General features: G+C 37.5%; 1 protein-coding gene and 1 long non-coding RNA gene across 8 annotated transcripts in view; one reads left to right on the forward strand and one right to left on the reverse strand.

The window, feature by feature from the left end:
* The window catches only part of GRM7 (glutamate metabotropic receptor 7), an 880,419-nt gene that overhangs the window by 21,773 nt on the left and 840,556 nt on the right, over positions 1-18,090 (forward strand). The window lies entirely within an intron of this gene.
* GRM7-AS2 (GRM7 antisense RNA 2) lies at positions 9,750-11,130 on the reverse strand. Its single transcript, NR_131906.1, has 2 exons — positions 11,033-11,130; positions 9,750-10,161 (listed from the first exon to the last, which is right to left on the reverse strand). It is a non-coding gene; the product is annotated as a GRM7 antisense RNA 2 (long non-coding RNA).

Consider the following 18,090-nt stretch of genomic DNA (forward strand, 5'->3'; position numbering starts at 1 on the left):
AACATCTTTGTGCATATGTCTTCCTGCATTTATTCATTTCCTTAGAATGACTTTTTAGAAATTGAAGGGCCACTTTTCAATTTGAGTACATATTGACGTATGAGCCTATGGAAGAGTTGCACTACCTTACCTTTCTATCAGCAATTTAACATCGTGTGTAGATTCTCACACTCTCTACAGTACCAGCATTAGCCATTTATTTCATTTGTGCCACTCTGTTGAGTAAAACATGAGACCTACATGATTCTAACTATATTTCTTTGGTTAATAATTGTGAGATTAAACTTATTTTAATGTATTTATTGACTGTTTGTATTTCTTCTTTTGTGACTTTATGACCTTTATGCATTTATTCACATTGATTTACAATAACTTTTTATATATTATAATGTTTATTATTTTGTTATAGTTTTCAATGTAATTTTTCTTTTTTAATTTATAAATTATAATCTCATGTTTATAGAAATTCTTTAATATTGTCTAGTCTATTCAAAAACACTTTAATAGTTCAGACACAGGGAGAAATCATCAGTCACTCTCTTACATTTTATAATCAATTTATTTCCTTTGCCAGTATGTGAATATAACTCCTTATTTTATATTATGTTTGGAAATGATTTATTCCCTCTGAAAGGGATTATAGCCTCTATGAAACTGTAAAGCCAGATTTTATATGGCACATAGGGTGTATAGGAAAAATGAAAGGCCATAAATCACACTCCATTGAATATTGCCTTATTTATAAAGATGGCATTTTAGGTTGTATACTTGTCATCAGATAAGCATAATTAATTTTGTTAGTATTAGCAAGAACAGCCTAGGAAAGCTTCACAGCAAGAAGTGAGTGGTTATGGGAGCAGGAAATAGCCTCTGTCTCATCCAAAACAGCAAGGACTTGAAACCGTGAGGATCCTGCTTATAGAATCTTGATCCAGTCAGCCCAGCCAACATGTGTTGTCAAGTAGGGCAAGTAGATTTGAGAAGTCTGAGAAGTTATCTTGGTCTCTTCTGGAAATGAGCAGCAACGTACTGTGCAGGGCAGAGATCATCAGCACAAGGTCTGGAGACATGGAACTCCCCCTATAGCCATTAAAGTCAGTGTGAGACAAAAATGCCAATATAAGTTATATTGATGACAGTATCAGTGAGATGACATTTAGTCCTCTAAAATTCCAACATGTTTTTGCAGTGTGCCATCCATTGGTAAATAGGCAGAGCCATTTGACAGATCTATTCAGTACAATGAATGAATCTGGCACTCACATTTAGAAAAAATGAAATTATATCAATTTGTCAAGTACAGTAGCTACCTGTTCTGTTTTATTTCTCCAGGTAGAACTAGATGACATTGCAGGCAGTGAGATGTTATCATGTTTGACCCCTGGAACTGTCCAAAAATGGAAGAAGCTGCCTCATCAGGTAGTTAATTTCTTGTCATTGGGAGTATTAAGTAGGTTTGTATGATCAGCAAGTTAAAGAGCCTATTTATCATTTCTAAAATATTGTACACACTAGTGCATTCAGGTTAGTATAAAGAATTCCTCACAATATATTAGGACAGTTTTAAATATTTTAATTTGATTAGACACAATCTTTTAGTTATAAAAAACATCACCATTTTGACCATTTAAATATGCCTTTATTTTCTCTTGTAACCTAGCTGTGTAGTCTTGGGCAAGTCACTACACTGTCTTGGACACAATTTTCTTTTCCTCTTTATTTTTTTTTCTGAGACAGAGTCTTGCTCTGTCACCCAGGCTGGAGCGCAGTATCATGATCTCAGCTCACTGCAACACTCGCCTTTGGGGTTCAAGCAATTCTCCTGCCTCAGCCTCCTAAGTAGCTGGGATTACAGACGCCCACCACCACACCTGGCTGATTTTTGTATTTTAAGTAGAGACAGGGTTTCACCATGTTATCCAGGCTGGTCTCAAACTCCTGACCTCGTGATCCACCCACCTCGGCCTCCCAAAGTGCTGGGATTACAGGCGTGAGCCACCGCGCCCGGCCAGACACAGTTTTCTTCATGTGAGGTAGAAATAACACATGCCTTTAAGGACTGCAGAATGATGAGTGGTGATGTTCTTGAACTCTTCCAATACTCCACATATATACATTATTTCTATCCCTGGAAAATTTGCATTAATGAAATAAAGCATTCTTAGTATAATAAGTCTGAGCAGATGAGAATTTAAGTGAAGGTTCTATACACACCTGATGCACGACAGGCAGACCCCCAAATTGAGGCTTAGCCCGAGAGGGTTCTTAGCTTCACCCACGAAACAATTTCAAAGGCAAGCCAGTGGTGTTAAACAACGACTTTTATTGAAGCAGTAGCCTACAGCAGCCGCAGAGGTACTGCTTCTTGCAGAGCAGGGCTACCCCCTAGGCAGCGTGCCCAGCTTAGGTAGCTTAGAGGGAGTTCTGCAGTCATACTTAGACCCACTTTTAATTATATGCAAATTAAGGGGCAACTTATGCAGAAATTTCTAGGATGAAGGTTGTAACTTCCGGGTTGTCCAGGTTGTTGCCGTGAAAAAGGGCAGTAATTTATGGGTATTGCCATGGCAATGATAAACCAAGATGGCACATTGGTGGGAGTGTCTTATGCGGAGGTGTTTCCACCCTGACCTGTTTGAGCTAGTCCATCATTTGGTCAGGTATCCAAGCCCGACCCCCAAAGCCTAGTCCTGCCTCCTACCACACACCCAGAAATATGGATTTATTCCCATGTCCGGTGCAAATGTAGGAAAAGCATTATTTTCTTATTATAAGGGAGGTATTATGAAGACCAACCAACTTAAAGAGTTTCTGTGTTGGAAATTGAGAGACCTCATTTCCTTCTGTGTTTACCCCACAAATGCCCGCAGGGGCTCTGAAGTTTTGTAGCAGCAACCTCATCTTACATCCTTGTCATTACAAGTAAACAGTGCCACACAATTAATAACTAATAATAGTTACAAGAAATATCACTTATTGAAGGTCTCCAGTCTATTAAGTATTTTATAATTATTAACATATTGATGGATGCTATATTTTGTTTTCAAGTTAGTTTGAGTTTCTTTTCAGCTTTACTGACATATAATTGACAGTTAAAATTTGTATATATTCAACATGTACCACAAGATGATTTGATATATGTATACATTGTGGAATGTTTACCACAATCTAAATAATTAGCACATCTATTGCCACACATAGTTACCATTGTGTGTGTGTGTGGGTGTGTGTGTGTGTATGGTGAGGACACTAAGATTTTCTCTCTTGGCAAATTTCAAGTAACCAGTGCTGTATTATTAACTATAGTCACCATGTTGTACATTCGATCTGAAGGGTACTACATTGTTATGGTTAAGAGTGTAGTCCCGCATGTTGTCACCATAAGTGGGAGCTGAACAATGATAACACATGGACACAGGGAGGGGAGCATCACACACCCACACACCGGGGCCTGTTTGGGAGTGAGGGGCTGGGGTAGGGATAGCGTTAGGAGAAATACCTAATGTAAATGATGAGTTGATGGGTGTAGCAAACTAACATGGCACATGTATACCTATGTAACAAACTTGCATATTGTGCACATGTACCTTAGAACTTAAAGTATAATAATAGTAAAAGAAAACAGTATAGTTTCTCAAGCTCAATAATTCTGGGTTGGAATCTCACTTCCATTATGTCTTAATTGAGTGACTTCTGGTCCATTGTTTATGCTTCATATTCCTCATGATTTTTTTTCTGTAAAAAAATACTAATGAATTATTGTCTGATATATAGAATATTTGTTGAATGAACACCTGCTTAGGCGAGATGGTAAATGTGATGTTTAGCACTGTGTTACATATATCATTACTCTGTTAATTCTTGCAGTAATTTAACTGGTCAGTAACAATAATAATAATAATAATAATAATAAACAGTTTAATAAAATGCTTAGGATGTCCTAAGCACTTTGTATATATAATTCATTTAATCTATACTACACTATTTTATATAGATATTATCTTCCAAGTTTTTTTTTCAGAGGACATTGAGGATCAGCAAGATTGAGTACTTTGCTTAACCCGTGAACTCAGGTCAGAATTACTCCAAACATAATTTTTAACTACAAAATGTCTATCATTCTACCTCTGAATTTGTTGTTGTTTTTAACTTCCATACATCTGATTTGAAATTCCTTTATATATTTGGGGACCTTTTCACTTTATGAGTCTTGTTGAGGGACAGTGCCTTTCTCCCACTGTTTAAACTGAAAATACCAGACACATTTACATGTAAACAATGTGAAGGAAAGTTGACTCTCTTTATTTTTTTTTTTAGAAGTAAAGTTTAAAGTCTTTTTATTTTATTTTATTATTATTATGCTTTAAGTTTTAGGGTACATGTGCACAATGTGCAGGTTAGTCACATATGTATACATGTGCCATGCTGGTGTGCTGCACCCATTAACTTGTCATTTAGCATTAGGTATATCTCCTAATGCTATCCCTCCCCCCTTCCCCCACCCCACAACAGTCCACAGAGTGTGATGTTCCCCTTCCTGTGTCCATGTGTTCTCATTGTTCAATTCCCACCTATGAGTGAGAATATGCAGTGCTTGGTTTTTTGTTCTTGCGATAGTTTACTGAGAATGATGATTTCCAATTTCATCCATGTCCCTACAAAGGACATGAACTCATCATTTTTTATGGCTGCATAGTATTCCATGGTGTATATATGCCACATTTTCTTAATCCAGTCTATCATTGCTGGACATTTGGGTTGGTTCCAAGTCTTTGCTATTGTGAAGAGTGCTGCAATAAACATACGTGTGCATGTGTTTTTATAGCAGCAGGATTTATAGTCCTTTGGGTATATACCCCGTACTGGGATGGCTGGGTCAAATGGTATTTCTAGTTCTAGATCCTTGAGGAATGGCCACACTGTCTTCCACAATGGTTGAACTAATTTATACTTGCGCCAACAATGTAAAAGCATTCCTATTTCTCCACATCCTCTCCAGCACCTGTTGTTTCCTGACTTTTTAATGATTGCCATTCTAACTGGTGTGAGATAGTATCTCATTGTGGTTTTGGTTTGCATTTCTCTTATGGCCAGTGATGGTGAGCATTTTTTCATGTGTTTTTTGGCTGCATAAATGTCTTCTGTTGAGAAGTGTCTGTTCATGTCCCTTGCCCACTTTTGGATGGGGTTGTTTGTTTTTTTCTTGTAAATTTGTTGGAGTTCATTGTAGATTCTGGATATTAGCCCTTTGTCAGATGAGTAGGTTGCGAAAATTTTCTCCCATTTTGTAGGTTGCCTGTTCACTCTGATGGTAGTTTCTTTTGCTGTGCAGAAGCTCTTTAGTTTAATTAGATCCCATTTGTCAATTTTGTCTTTTGTTGCCATTGCTTTTGGTGTTTTAGACATGAAGTCCTTGCCCATGCCTATGACCTGAATGGTAATGCTTAGGTTTTCTTCTAGGGTTTTTATGGTTTTATGTCTAACGTTTAAGTCTTTAATCCATCTTGAATTAATTTTTGTATAAGGTGTAAGGAAGGGATCCAGTTTCAGCTTTCTACATATGGCTGGCCAGTTTTCCCAGCACCATTTATTAAATAGGGAATCCTTTCCCCATTGCTTGTTTTTCTCAGGTTTGTCAAAGATCAGATAGCTATAGATATGCAGCGTTATTTCTGAGGGCTCTGTTCTGTTCCATTGATCTATATCTCTGTTTTGGTACCAGTACCATGCTGTTTTGGTTACTGTAGCCTTGTAGTATAGTTTGAAGTCAGGTAGCATGATGCCTCCAGCTTTGTTCTTTTGGCTTAGGATTGACTTGGCGATGCGGGCTGTTTTTTGGTTCCATATGAACTTTAAAGTAGTTTTTTCCAATTCTGTGAAGAAAATCATTGGTAGCTTGATGGGGATGGCATTGAATCTATAAATTACCTTGGGCAGTACGGCCATTTTCATGATATTGATTCTTCCTACCCATGAGCATGGAATGTTCTTCTATTTGTTTGTATCCTCTTTATTTCATTGAGCAGTGGTTTGTAGTTCTCCTTGAAGAGGTCCTTCACATCCCTTGTAAGTTGGATTCCTAGGTATTTTATTCTCTTTGAAGCAATTGTGAATGGGAGTTCACTCATGATTTGGCTCTCTGTTTGTCTGTTATTTGTGTATAAGAATGCTTGTGATTTTTGTACATTGATTTTGTATCCTGAGACTTTGCTGAAGTTGCTTGTCAGCTTAAGGAGATTTTGGGCTGAGACAATGGGGTTTTCTAGATATACAATCATGTCACCTGCAAACAGGGACAATTTGACTTCCTCTTTTCCTAATTGAATGCCCTTTATTTCCTTCTCCTGCCTGATTGACCTGGCCAGAACTTCCAACACTATATTGAATAGGAGTGATGAGAGAGGGCATCCCTTTCTTGTGCCAGTTTTCAAAGGGAATGCTTCCAGTTTTCGTCCATTCAGTATGATATTGGCTGTGGGTTTGTCATAGATAGCTCTTATTATTTTGAGATACATCCCATCAATACCTAATTTATTGAGAGTTTTTAGCATGAAGCGTTGTTGAATTTTGTCAAAGGCCTTTTCTGCATCTATTGAGATAATCATGTGGTTTTTGTCTTTGGTTCTGTTTATATGCTGGATTACATTTATTGATTTGCATATATTGAACCAGCCTTGCATCCCAGGGATGAAGCCCACTTAATCATCGTGGATAACCTTTTTGATGTGCTGCTGGATTTGGTTTGCCAGTATTTTATTGAGGATTTTTGCATCAATGTTCATCAAGGATATTGGTCTAAAATTCTCTTTTTTGGTTGTGTCTCTGCCTGGCTTTGGTATCAGAATGATGCTGGCCTCAGCAAATGAGTTAGGGAGGATTCCCTCTTTTTCTATTGATTGGAATAGTTTCAGAAGGAATGGTACCAGTTCCTCCTTGTACTTCTGGTAGAATTCGGCTGTGAATCCATCTGGTCCTGGACTCTTTTTGGTTGGTAAGCTATTAATTATTGCCACAATTTCAGAGCCTGTTATTGGTTTATTCAGAGATTCAACTTCTTCCTGGTTTAGTCTTGGGAGGGTGTACGTGTCGAGGAATTTATCCATTTCTTCTAGATTTTCTAGTTTATTTGCGTAGAGGTGTTTGTAGTATTCTCTGATGGTAGTTTGTATTTCTGTGGGATCAGTGGTGATATCCCCTTTATCATTTTTTATTGCGTCTATTTGATTCTTCTCTCTTTTTTCTTTATTAGTCTTGGTAGCGGTCTATCAATTTTGTTGATCCTTTCAAAAAACCAGCTCCTAGATTCATTAATTTTTTGAAGGGTTTTTTGTGTCTCTATTTCCTTCAGTTCTGCTCTGATTTTAGTTATTCCTTGCCTTCTGCTAGCTTTTGAATGTGTTTGCTCTTGCTTTTCTAGTTCTTGTAATTGTGATGTTAGGGTGTCAATTTTGGATCTTTCGTGCTTTCTCTTGAGGGCATTTAATGCTATAAATTTCTCTCTACACACTGCTTTGAATGTGTCCCAGAGATTCTGGTATGTTGTGTCTTTGTTCTCGTTGGTTTCAAAGATCATCTTTATTTCTGTCTTCATTCCGTTATGTAGCCAGTAGTCATTTAGTAGCAGGTTGTTCAGTTTGCATGTAGTTGAGCGGTTTTGAGTGAGTTTCTTAATCCTGAGTTCTAGTTTGATTGCACTGTGGTCTGAGAGACAGTTTGTTGTAATTTCTGATCTTTTACATTTGCTGAGGAGAGCTTTACTTCCAAGTATGTGGTCAATTTTGGAATAGGTGTGGTGTGGTGCTGAAAAAAATGTATATTCTGTTGATTTGGGGTGGAGAGTTCTGTAGATGTCTATTAGGTCTGCTTGGTGTAGAGCTGAGTTCAATTCCTGGGTATCCTTGTTAAATTTCTGTCTCGTTGATCTGTCTAATGTTGACAGTGGGGTGTTAAAGTCTCCCATTATTATTGTGTGGGAGTCTAAGTGTCTTTGTAGGTCACTCAGGACTTGCTTTATGAACCTGGGTGCTCCTGTATTGGGTGTATATATATTTAGGATAGTTAGCTCTTCTTATTGAATTGATCCCTTTACCATTATGTAATGGCCTTCTTTGTGTCTTTTGATCTTTGTTGGTTTAAAGTCTGTTTTATCAGAGGCTAGGATTGCAACCCCTGCCATTTTTTGTTTTCCATTTGCTTGGTAGATCTTCCTCCATCCTTTTATTTTGAGCCTATATGTGTCTCTGCACGTGAGATGGGTTTCCTGAATACAGCACACTGATGGGTCTTGACTCTTTATCCAATTTGCCAGTCTGTGTCTTTTAATTGGAGCATTTAGTCCATTTACATTTAAAGTTAATATTGTTATGTGTGAATTTGATCCTGTCATTATGATATTAGCTGGTTATTTTGCTCATTAGTTGATGCAGTTTCTTCCTGGCCTCGATGGTCTTTACAATTTGGCATGATTTTGCAGTGGCTGGTACCGGTTGTTGCTTTCCGCGTTTAGTGCTTCCTTCAGGAGCTCTTTTAGAGCAGGCCTGGTGGTAACAAAATCTCTCAGCATTTGCTTGTCTGTAAAGTATTTTATTTCTCCTTCACTTATGAGGCTTAGTTTGGCTGGATATGAAAATCTGGGTTGAAAATTCTTTTCTTTAGGAATGTTGAATATTGGCCCCCACTCTCTTCTGGCTTGTAGAGTTTCTGCCGAGAGATCCACTGTTAGTCTGATGGGCTTCCCTTTGTGGGTAACCCGACCTTTCTCTCTGGCTGCCCTTAACATTTTTTCCTTCATTTCAACTTTGGCAAATCTGACAATTATGTGTGTTGGAGTTGCTCTTCTCGAGGAGTATCTTTGTGGCGTTCTCTGTATTTCCTGAATCTGAATGTTGGCCTGCCTTGCTAGATTGGGGAAGTTCTCCTTTATAATATCCTGCAGAGTGTTTTCCAACTTGGTTCTATTCTCCCCGTCACTTTCAGGTAGGCCAATCAGACATAGATTTGGTCTTTTCACATAGTCCCATATTTCTTGGATGCTTTGTTCATTTCTTTTTATTCTTTTTTCTGTAAACTTCCCTTCTCGCTTCATTTCATTCATTTCATCTTCCATCACTGATACCCTTTCTTCCAGTTGGTTGCATCGGCTCCTGAGGCTTCTGCATTCTTCACGTAGTTCTCGAGCCTTGGCTTTCAGCTCCATCAGCTCCTTTAAGCACTTCTCTGTATTGGTTATTCTAGTTATACATTCGTCTAAATTTTTTTCTCTTTATCAGTCTTCCTTGAAACTGGAAGACAGTCAGATGACCTAGGATTGGTCAATTACACTCAAGTCCTATATTTTGAATTAGAAATGAATGATATGAGGAAGCAAGGACCTCAGAGAAGCCCTTCCAGGAGTAATTGAGGAGGCAGCAGTGCCTGGGTCAGCATCCCGTATCCTGCTCCTGTTGGGTCAGCGAGGCAGGCCTGCACATACACTTAATTTTGCATGATTCTATAATTTTGATAGCGTGCCCTAAGTTCTGGTTCTTTAGTCTGCTTCTAGTTACTGAAACTTAATCAATAACCTTTCAAAAATCATTTTCTGCTCAAATCAGCTGTATCTGGCTCCTGTTGCTTGCAAATAAGCACTTTCTTGATATCCACCTACATATCCAGGAAGGTATAATATATTCCTGTCAGGGACAAGAGCAGGAAAGCTTCCTGAGCATCTGAGAGTGAGGAAAAAGAAGGAAGAATTGGAGCCAATTCTGCTTGTTTTAGAATTGTATTTGTAGCTGCCCGTTTTACATATCACATGCTAAACTTCACCTCTCTTTACCCAATTACAGACACCTGAGGGGTAAACTCTGTGTTGGCAACCCAACAGCCCTCTGTGCTGGGCCACAGGCATCCCAGGATGTGAAAGACTTCCCTCAATGTCTTTGTTACTTGAGGCTACATCATTCCTCTCTTTGGAGATCAGCTTCTGTTGTGTGGGACAAAACGATGCGAAACCCGAACTCAAATAGAAAGATACAAAAATTAGCTACAGGTGTGCATGGCCCAGGGATGAAGTTGAGATTTCATGTAATGTGTCCTCTTTCTGTCATGACCTTGATGATGATGATAATGATGATGATGATGATGATGACGATAGCATCAGTAACATTTATTGATTTTTTCCTAGATGAAGGGCATATCATCTTAATAACCATTTTTTAATCTCCACTATGACCTAATGAAGTAAGCATTATATTATTTCAATATCCTCGAGGGTCAAAAAAATTAAGGAAGTTATTCTAGCTCACAACTGGGTGGTAGAACAACAATGACTGGACACTGGATCTGCCTGAATTATATTGTGTGAGCAGAGCCACTTACCTATTTCTGGCATATTGTAACTCAGAAGCTCTGGGGTTATTGTAGAGCAGCTGAGTGTGGTTGAACTAAGATGTCTTAATAGATAATATTAATATAAAGTAAATTACTTTAAAGTATCTTGGCATATATTGCGTTACTCTCATATCTGTCATTGGTTCTATTGGTAACTGTTGAGAAACTCATAACGTGAATCCTAATTCGGCCTCTAACTCATCGTTTATTTGACCTAATTGAGGCAATTATCTTTGTGTTGTTTTCTTTCCTACAGACATAAACTGAGCATCCAAAACATGCCCACCATCTTGTAAGTATATGCCATTAGTTTTATAGGTGCTCAATAAGATGGAGAAAGAGAAAAAGACACAAAAATACACCTCTCAGCATTTGAAATACAGTCATCAATTTTTGTGCCTTTTATATTGTCAGTTCCTTTTAACATTTACTAACACCCACACAATTTATATTTTTAATAAAGCAATTTCCTTACCAAACATTTTACATTTGGTTATTAGTTATATTCTGGTATTCTAACAATAACACTAATAATTATAAGCTGTTGAAAAATTCATCAGACCCTACATTTTTATCCCCACATCCTGAAAATAAAGTGGGAAATAAGGTAAAGAGTAGAAAATCTGCCTATGTTTTTCTTCGGATGACATGAGATGCTCACCTAATATCACTCCTTTAGCATTTTCTATTAAATTGTTCATTCTTTCCTGGGGGCATATGAACAGCTTCCATTACGGTAAATGTCAGTCTTGAGTGCAAACCTAGAAGAGGGCAAATGGAAAACTTTTAGACAATAAGTCAACTTTTCTTCAAAAGTTCAACCACTATACATTCCATGGTGAAAATATTTCTATGTACAGATGAAACCTCTTAGGTTTGGGGAAATTTCAATAGCAGATAGTGATCCTGAGTACACCTAGTTCATTTCTCTCTGCTTTTCCCCCTTGTTACATTGAGATTAAAATCTGTAGCAGAATTACATATTAAGCAGTCTAGGAAATTGATATGACATTTGGTCTGAATCTCCAAAGTAAATTTTAGATGAAGATGCTATGAAATTCACATAAGAAAAAATCATCAGAAATATTTTTATATTATCAAATGTACTGCAATAATGAAAGCAAATCCCACTTCTAGCTAATGAAACATGATTCTTTAGGTGATATTATATTGTGGCAGAAAAGGGATTTATGTCATCTATTGTTTCTATCCTAAAAATGCTAGAATGGGAGCAAATAAGCCAAATTAATTGTAATATATACATTGTAATTGTAATATATACATACATCTCTATAGGTGTATATATATACATATGTGTGTATATATGTATATACAAATATATACACATATATATTGCATACACACATGTGCACACATATAAGTAAAATTTCAACTTGCATCCTCAGAGCAGGTTTTGTGGGGAAGATAGGATGTAAACTGGGTAGGCTTCCAGCAGCTTTACTCGATTCTGACTTTAGGATAAAATCAAGCATTTCAACTGGTCAGTCAGTCTGACCTTGATGGAAAAGCATTCATCTGGATGGAACACTATAATTAAACATGCAGTTGTAGAGATGCCCTGGCTGTATTATTCCAGTGCCTGGAAGGTATTGAAACATCTATTTTCTCTAGGAGATGGAAAGGTATCTCAAGTGAAGTCTAAGTGTAATAAACAGAGGCCAGTGCTCTTTGTTGGGACATTGCTTTGATCCTATAACAAGTAACAATTTCATAATCTGTTTAAGATTGTCTTTATCCAAGAGGGTTCTTAGCAATAGGAGTAGAAAAGAAAAGCCGCTCTTTCTGGGTTCTTGCTCTTTGTCTATGAACCAGAGAAGGTGCCAATAGATGAACCAGGTCACAGCTATCCACAGCAGGAGACAGGACGATTATTAACACTCAATCTACTGGAAAGTAAATGGAAGTCTAAAGAAAGACTCCAAAGATTTCTATACCTTATATACTTGATACACCAAAAGTGTCGCCTCAGTGGATCCCTTCCCCCAAAATGCCAATATGTTTTTGCCAGTGTGTGACAGAATCTGAGGGGTGAAATTAAGGAAAAGAATGGAAAGCTGCCTTAAGATTCTAGCTCTTTGAACAGGGAACAAACAATACGTTTTCAATAATCTTAGCAACCACACTTGTAATAATGACCATCAGAATAACTGCTGTTTTCTGCCATATGGTAAGAACACTACCAAACTTATTTTTTTCTTCAACTTTACAACTCAAATTCTCTTATTATTTTCATTTTACAAATTAGGAAAGTGAAGCTCAGAGATACTGTCATTTGGCCAAGATCACACAGCTAGTAAGAGATAAGTCTGAACCCTTTTTGTTGGATACCAAAGACCACAATTTTAGTCCTTCAGAATCTATCTCAGAGCATTTGAGTAAGTTAATTTTAAAAAGTCCTCCTAATCAGATTGATCAGGCCATTATATTAGGTTAAGCAAAGTGGGAAAATGGCATAAGAATATTTGAATTGTAAATACAAGAATTTACTTGCATCTAAGTTATCCACATAATATTTAGCTGATAGCTTCATGATTACAACAACTGAATGGAAATGAACATGTTTTGCTGTTTGGAATAAGATTGCCCATTGAGTAAAAATATATATTTATTCCTCACCCAATATGACATGAGGTGCAGACGACATTGAGATGCCATCTAGTAGTGCTCCTATGTAGTTCATCATGTCAGCCCAGCCAATAATTTTAAAATGTTTTGAGTCTATAATGAATGCACCCATAAAGCATATTTCTAATCAATGCAAATATTTTCCTATGCTAAACCCGAGTTAAATTATAACATGCAGCATAAGATTAATGGGCCATTTTTTCTTCATCAGTTTGTTAAATTACTTAGTTTGGAAGCCATTCCAAAGGATGTGAATTGGAGCTGTGCTGTGCTGTTGCAATGAGATTCTGCTTTTTTGATGAAAGTATTCCCACGCCTGCCCCTTACTTCTAGCTTCTTAGGAAAGAAGGGAAAGTTTCTTCTGGTAAAAAGTAACATGTTTATGGGCTGGCTCATATAGTATGAATGAAAGAATTATGTGTCTTCTAAGCCAAGCCTGTTTTGGCATATAAAATAATTTTTACCTATCATTTCATAAAATGAACATTTGATTTTCAGGTGAAGTCTTAGGTCATTTGACTCCTGGATCACTTTCATGAATAGATTTTGCTTGATATAACTTGTAACTCAATATATTAACTGCAATTCAGTCTGCCTAGCTGATGTGCATAATCTAAAATGCAAGTCCCTGCAGGGTAAGCATTGCACCTGCATCATCAGTGTGGCCTGATTTTGAGCTCAACGTCTAGCATTTAGGAGATGTTCAATAAGTGGTAGTGAGGTTTGCTTTCCACTTTAGAGAGAGGCAGGGTATTCACTCACTCTTGTGTCTGGTGAACACTGGATACAAGAATCTTGCTACATTATTCTTCATTTCCCTTTGTGTGCAGGCTGAAGATTTTTTTTTCCTTCTTAAAATGCCTATCTCCACTTGTTTTCCTGGAAAATAACTCTTCTTTCTTGAATTCTTAGTCCCATTGTTGACTGCTTGAGATTGCATTTATTACTTCCTCACAAAGAGAATTTATTTCGTCTTCAACTGTGCTCCAACAATTGTGTGTGCATGTGAATGTATGTGTGTGCTCTATTACAACAGCTATCATATTGTATCATGGTTATTTGTTTGCCTAAGTGTTTGAATGATCAGAAAGAATTCTTGAGTGTGGTGTATTTCTGTTTGACAGTTATCCTGAGCAAATTACTCCAACACATAGTCGGTGCTCCTAGGATACTGGCTGAATTGAATTACATTTTATTGCCAACATATAGACAATAATATCTCATTGTTCTTTTGAATTCCAGCTGGGAAATCAGCTGGAAATGAACCCTAAAAGTTCTGTACCTCATACTATTGAACAGCTTCTTTAGTTATTGTGTATGGGAAGCAGTACTGCTTGTCCTGCTAGTTCTCAAAGTGTGGTACTCAGACCAGCACATCAGCATCACTGGGGAATTGCAAATTCTTGGGCCTTGCCCTAGACGGAAAGAGTCAGGGACTCTGGGATTGAGCCCCAGTGTCTGTGTTTTAACAAATGCTCCAGGTGACTTCAATGCCTACTCAAGTTTAAGAACCACCAGTTTAGATCTAGAGCTTAAGCTTTAAGCTTGGAGCAGACCTGACTCTTAAACTCCACTCAGCCATTAGAGTGACCTTGAGCAAGTTACTCCTGGTACCTTCTCACCATTTTTGTGTCTTGCTTAGCTTATTGGGATAATTACATTAGATTAGTGCATTCAGGAGAGTGCCTGAAACACAGTACGTGTTCAATAAATGCTAGCTGTTACCATTATCATCGTTCAGAATGTATTAACTCATCCTGAAGACACATTTCACATAAAGGTAATAATGTGGTTTGTAAAATTAGCAGCTTAGAAGAAATGTATTAAGAAGTTCATCAAACAAGGTTTCAGCAGGAAATCTGTGGTACTCTGAAAAGGGCAATTTGAGCAGGATGTAGGGAAACAGAGATAGTGTAGCATTAGTGGGTCAGCAAAAGCTTGGCCACTTTTATCACTCTTGGTCTAGCAGGGAAGGAGAAGAAAGGCACTGCTGGAGAGTGGGGGCCTCCCCATAGAGGCTGTGGCCTTAAGTTGAGGGATGCCGCCATCCATCACTCAGCAACTTGGCAGGGAGGAAACCAAAGGAATAAACACCTGACCTCACTCTTCTTTCACCTTTTCTCTCATCTCCCATGGGTGTTCTCCATTGGTGAACCCAGTGAGAAGCTAGAAGGCAAGGACATCCATCAAGTTAGGCCATGCGAGACATCCAGGGCACAGAGCTGGATGGAGAAAGAATTCGAAAGGGCTGATAGGATATATATTGTCAGCTGTAAAATCACTTGTCGTTCTCATGTGATGGCCATTACAGAAACAGAGAGAGACAAGTAGTTAGTGCTTATTTGGCAGACCCAGAAAGCTTCAGGGTAGAACTGGCATTTGAATTGGGCGTGAAAGGAAAATTTGGGTTTTAATGATGACTATGAAGTAGGGATTGGTGAGAGACCAAGGACGAAAGAGTGTCATTCCAAATAGAGATAAAGCAATGGCACAAAGACAAAAAAAAAAAAAAAAAGGCAGGGCAGAGCACGTGGTAGAAACAGTGAATGTTCTGTGTGTGACTGAGCAGAAATGGAACAGGCAGAGGCTGGAAGTTAAGATAAAGTCAATATTTGAATAACATCAGAGTTCCCTCCTTTAACCTCAATTTCCACCTTCTACTCTCTTCACCAAGACTAGGAAAATAAAAGTGAACTTAAATTGGGGGCCAAGGATGACAGTGTCAAGAAAAAGATACCTCCCAAAAATAGGTTGGCTGAGGTTACCTATTTTGGCTATTTTTTTTGGAGGGGTACCAGGTGTGGTGGTACCAACCTCCCAGCTACTCTGGAGGCGAAGGCAGGAAGATCACTTGAGCCCAGGAGCTATGATTGCACCTCTGCACTACAGGGCAGCAGTATGAGATTCTATCTCAAAAAAACAAAAAAAAAAAATGAAGAAAGAAAAGAAAAGAGCACTGGAGCACTGATAAGACCTTGGTGAAGCTGGGTGCATGACTGGTGGTATTGCCACAGTAGAGTATGGGCAAGTGGTTGTGACAAATTCAGGCTGGGTTCTTGACTCTTGACTTCCATCAATTTACTTAAATGCTCTAGGTTTCCATATTGCAATCAGTAAAATAGGGGCAAAATCTAGCTTCCTCAAGTGTTGCTGTGAGGATCTAATAAGAAATAGAGGTAAGAGTTGAGTCCAGTAATGAAGTCGGAAAACACATGAGCTAAGGTGATAATGATCATAATAAGAATAATAGCTATCATCCATTGAATGCTTGTTATATCCCTGATACTGTGCTAGTTCTTTTACATATCTTTTCTCACTTAGTTTTATCTATTTCTATAGGGAAGACCCAATTGATGACTCATTAATGAGGAAAGTATCAAAGTGAAAATGTACTAGGAAATTAATTCTTAATGAATCTGTCAGCTTTTTATTACAGGGCATGTAAAATATCTGACAAAGAGCTGGGCATAAAATACTTAATTGGACAACTTTTGATAAAATATTAACTTAATAAGCATAAATAGGTTGAGGATTTTTGGAGGGCATGTGATAATAATAGTATTAGTGTGATGTCTTTTGAAAGTGCTAAGTTCTCTAGAGGTCAAAAGGAGAGGCAGGAAAAGGTGAAAAGTTTTCTCTGAAAGTTATGGGGAAACCAGGTTGTTAAGACAACAAAATGGGAAGTCGTAAAAGGTCAAGTTACTCATAGGCCTTCTTAAAATAGGTCCATGAGAAATGTTTACAGTGATTGGATGCCAGAGAAAAAGAAAATCTCTGGCTTCATAAACTGTAATTTATTTTAGACAAACTGACTAATGATAAAAATAAAGACAATATGATGGACTTTTGACAGTTTCATTGACCAAACTAAGACTAAAAAGCCTAAACATCAAGATGTTCATACTTTTAATCAACTTCAGAGGTGAGCAAAGAGAACATCTGAAAAGTTAAGGGGCTTTTATCCAAGGTCACACATTTAATTAGAGGTGTGTGTGTGACATAAACCCATTTCTAAAATTCTCAAGTCAGTATCTTTACAGAAGTCAAATACGTCTTTGTCAAAAATAGCTTTAACTTACTTCCAGGAAAAAGGCAAAACAAAATAATTGGAGCAATAATGGATACAGATATAACAGCTAATTCAAGAATCCCAAAATAAAGGTGAAAAGTAAGGAAATTATTAGTTAAGATAATCTGGAAGTCTACTAAAAGGGGAATATGTTTAGAGATGGCAATTTGGGAACAATGTGTCCTCAAAAGTAAAAGATCAAATTACAAGCAGTTTGGGGACCTTTAAGAGAGATTTTATAGATTGAACAACAATTTAAGAATAAAACAAGGGGCTGACATGTGAACAGCAGCCTGGAAAGTGTTGCAGAAAAGCCACATCACTCTAAACTTCAGTTTCTGTATATTTGGACTGACTGGAGGGCGTGAAATCAGTTGTTTTAAAAGCACAATAAATAATCCAACCATCTGGCGAATAATACAAGCTATTCTTTGCACAGACGTTAATTTATGCACTTAGACACCACTTAAAACTAAAATTGAACAAAATACATAATCTTGATATTATTATATAAAAAAAGGAAAGATAACCTTTGCCCTGAATAGGCAGGATAAAGATGAGGGCAAAGATATTCAGAAGGAGAGTATTCTTGAAAAAAATTATATTAACATCTGTTAGCTACATCAGATTTGAAATGCGATGATATACAGAAAGAGAAGTCTACTATTGATTTTTAAAAGGGAATGTGTTGGCTGAAAGAGAGAAGAAGCTTATAGAGAGACCGAAAGGGTTCTTTTAAGGATATATTTGAATGTCATTTCAAAAAATAAACACATTTCCCATAACAATGCAGTGAGGTTAAAAGAATAATGCAGGTGAAAGCTTTTTGGCCCAAATAAGGTCCATCAGGGCTAGGTATTATTGTTTAACACACCACGACCTAGCCCTGCAAGCACCAGGCTGTGGCTATTTTTACAAGATCCAGTGCAACATTCACAGTATTTCTGGCATTAGAACCTGGCACAGATCATTTTGTTTGCATTTTTGTGATGCCTGCTCTACTC

The sequence above is a fragment of the Homo sapiens genome, chromosome 3 (assembly GCF_000001405.40).
Source record: "Homo sapiens chromosome 3, GRCh38.p14 Primary Assembly".
NCBI lineage: Eukaryota > Metazoa > Chordata > Mammalia > Primates > Hominidae > Homo > Homo sapiens.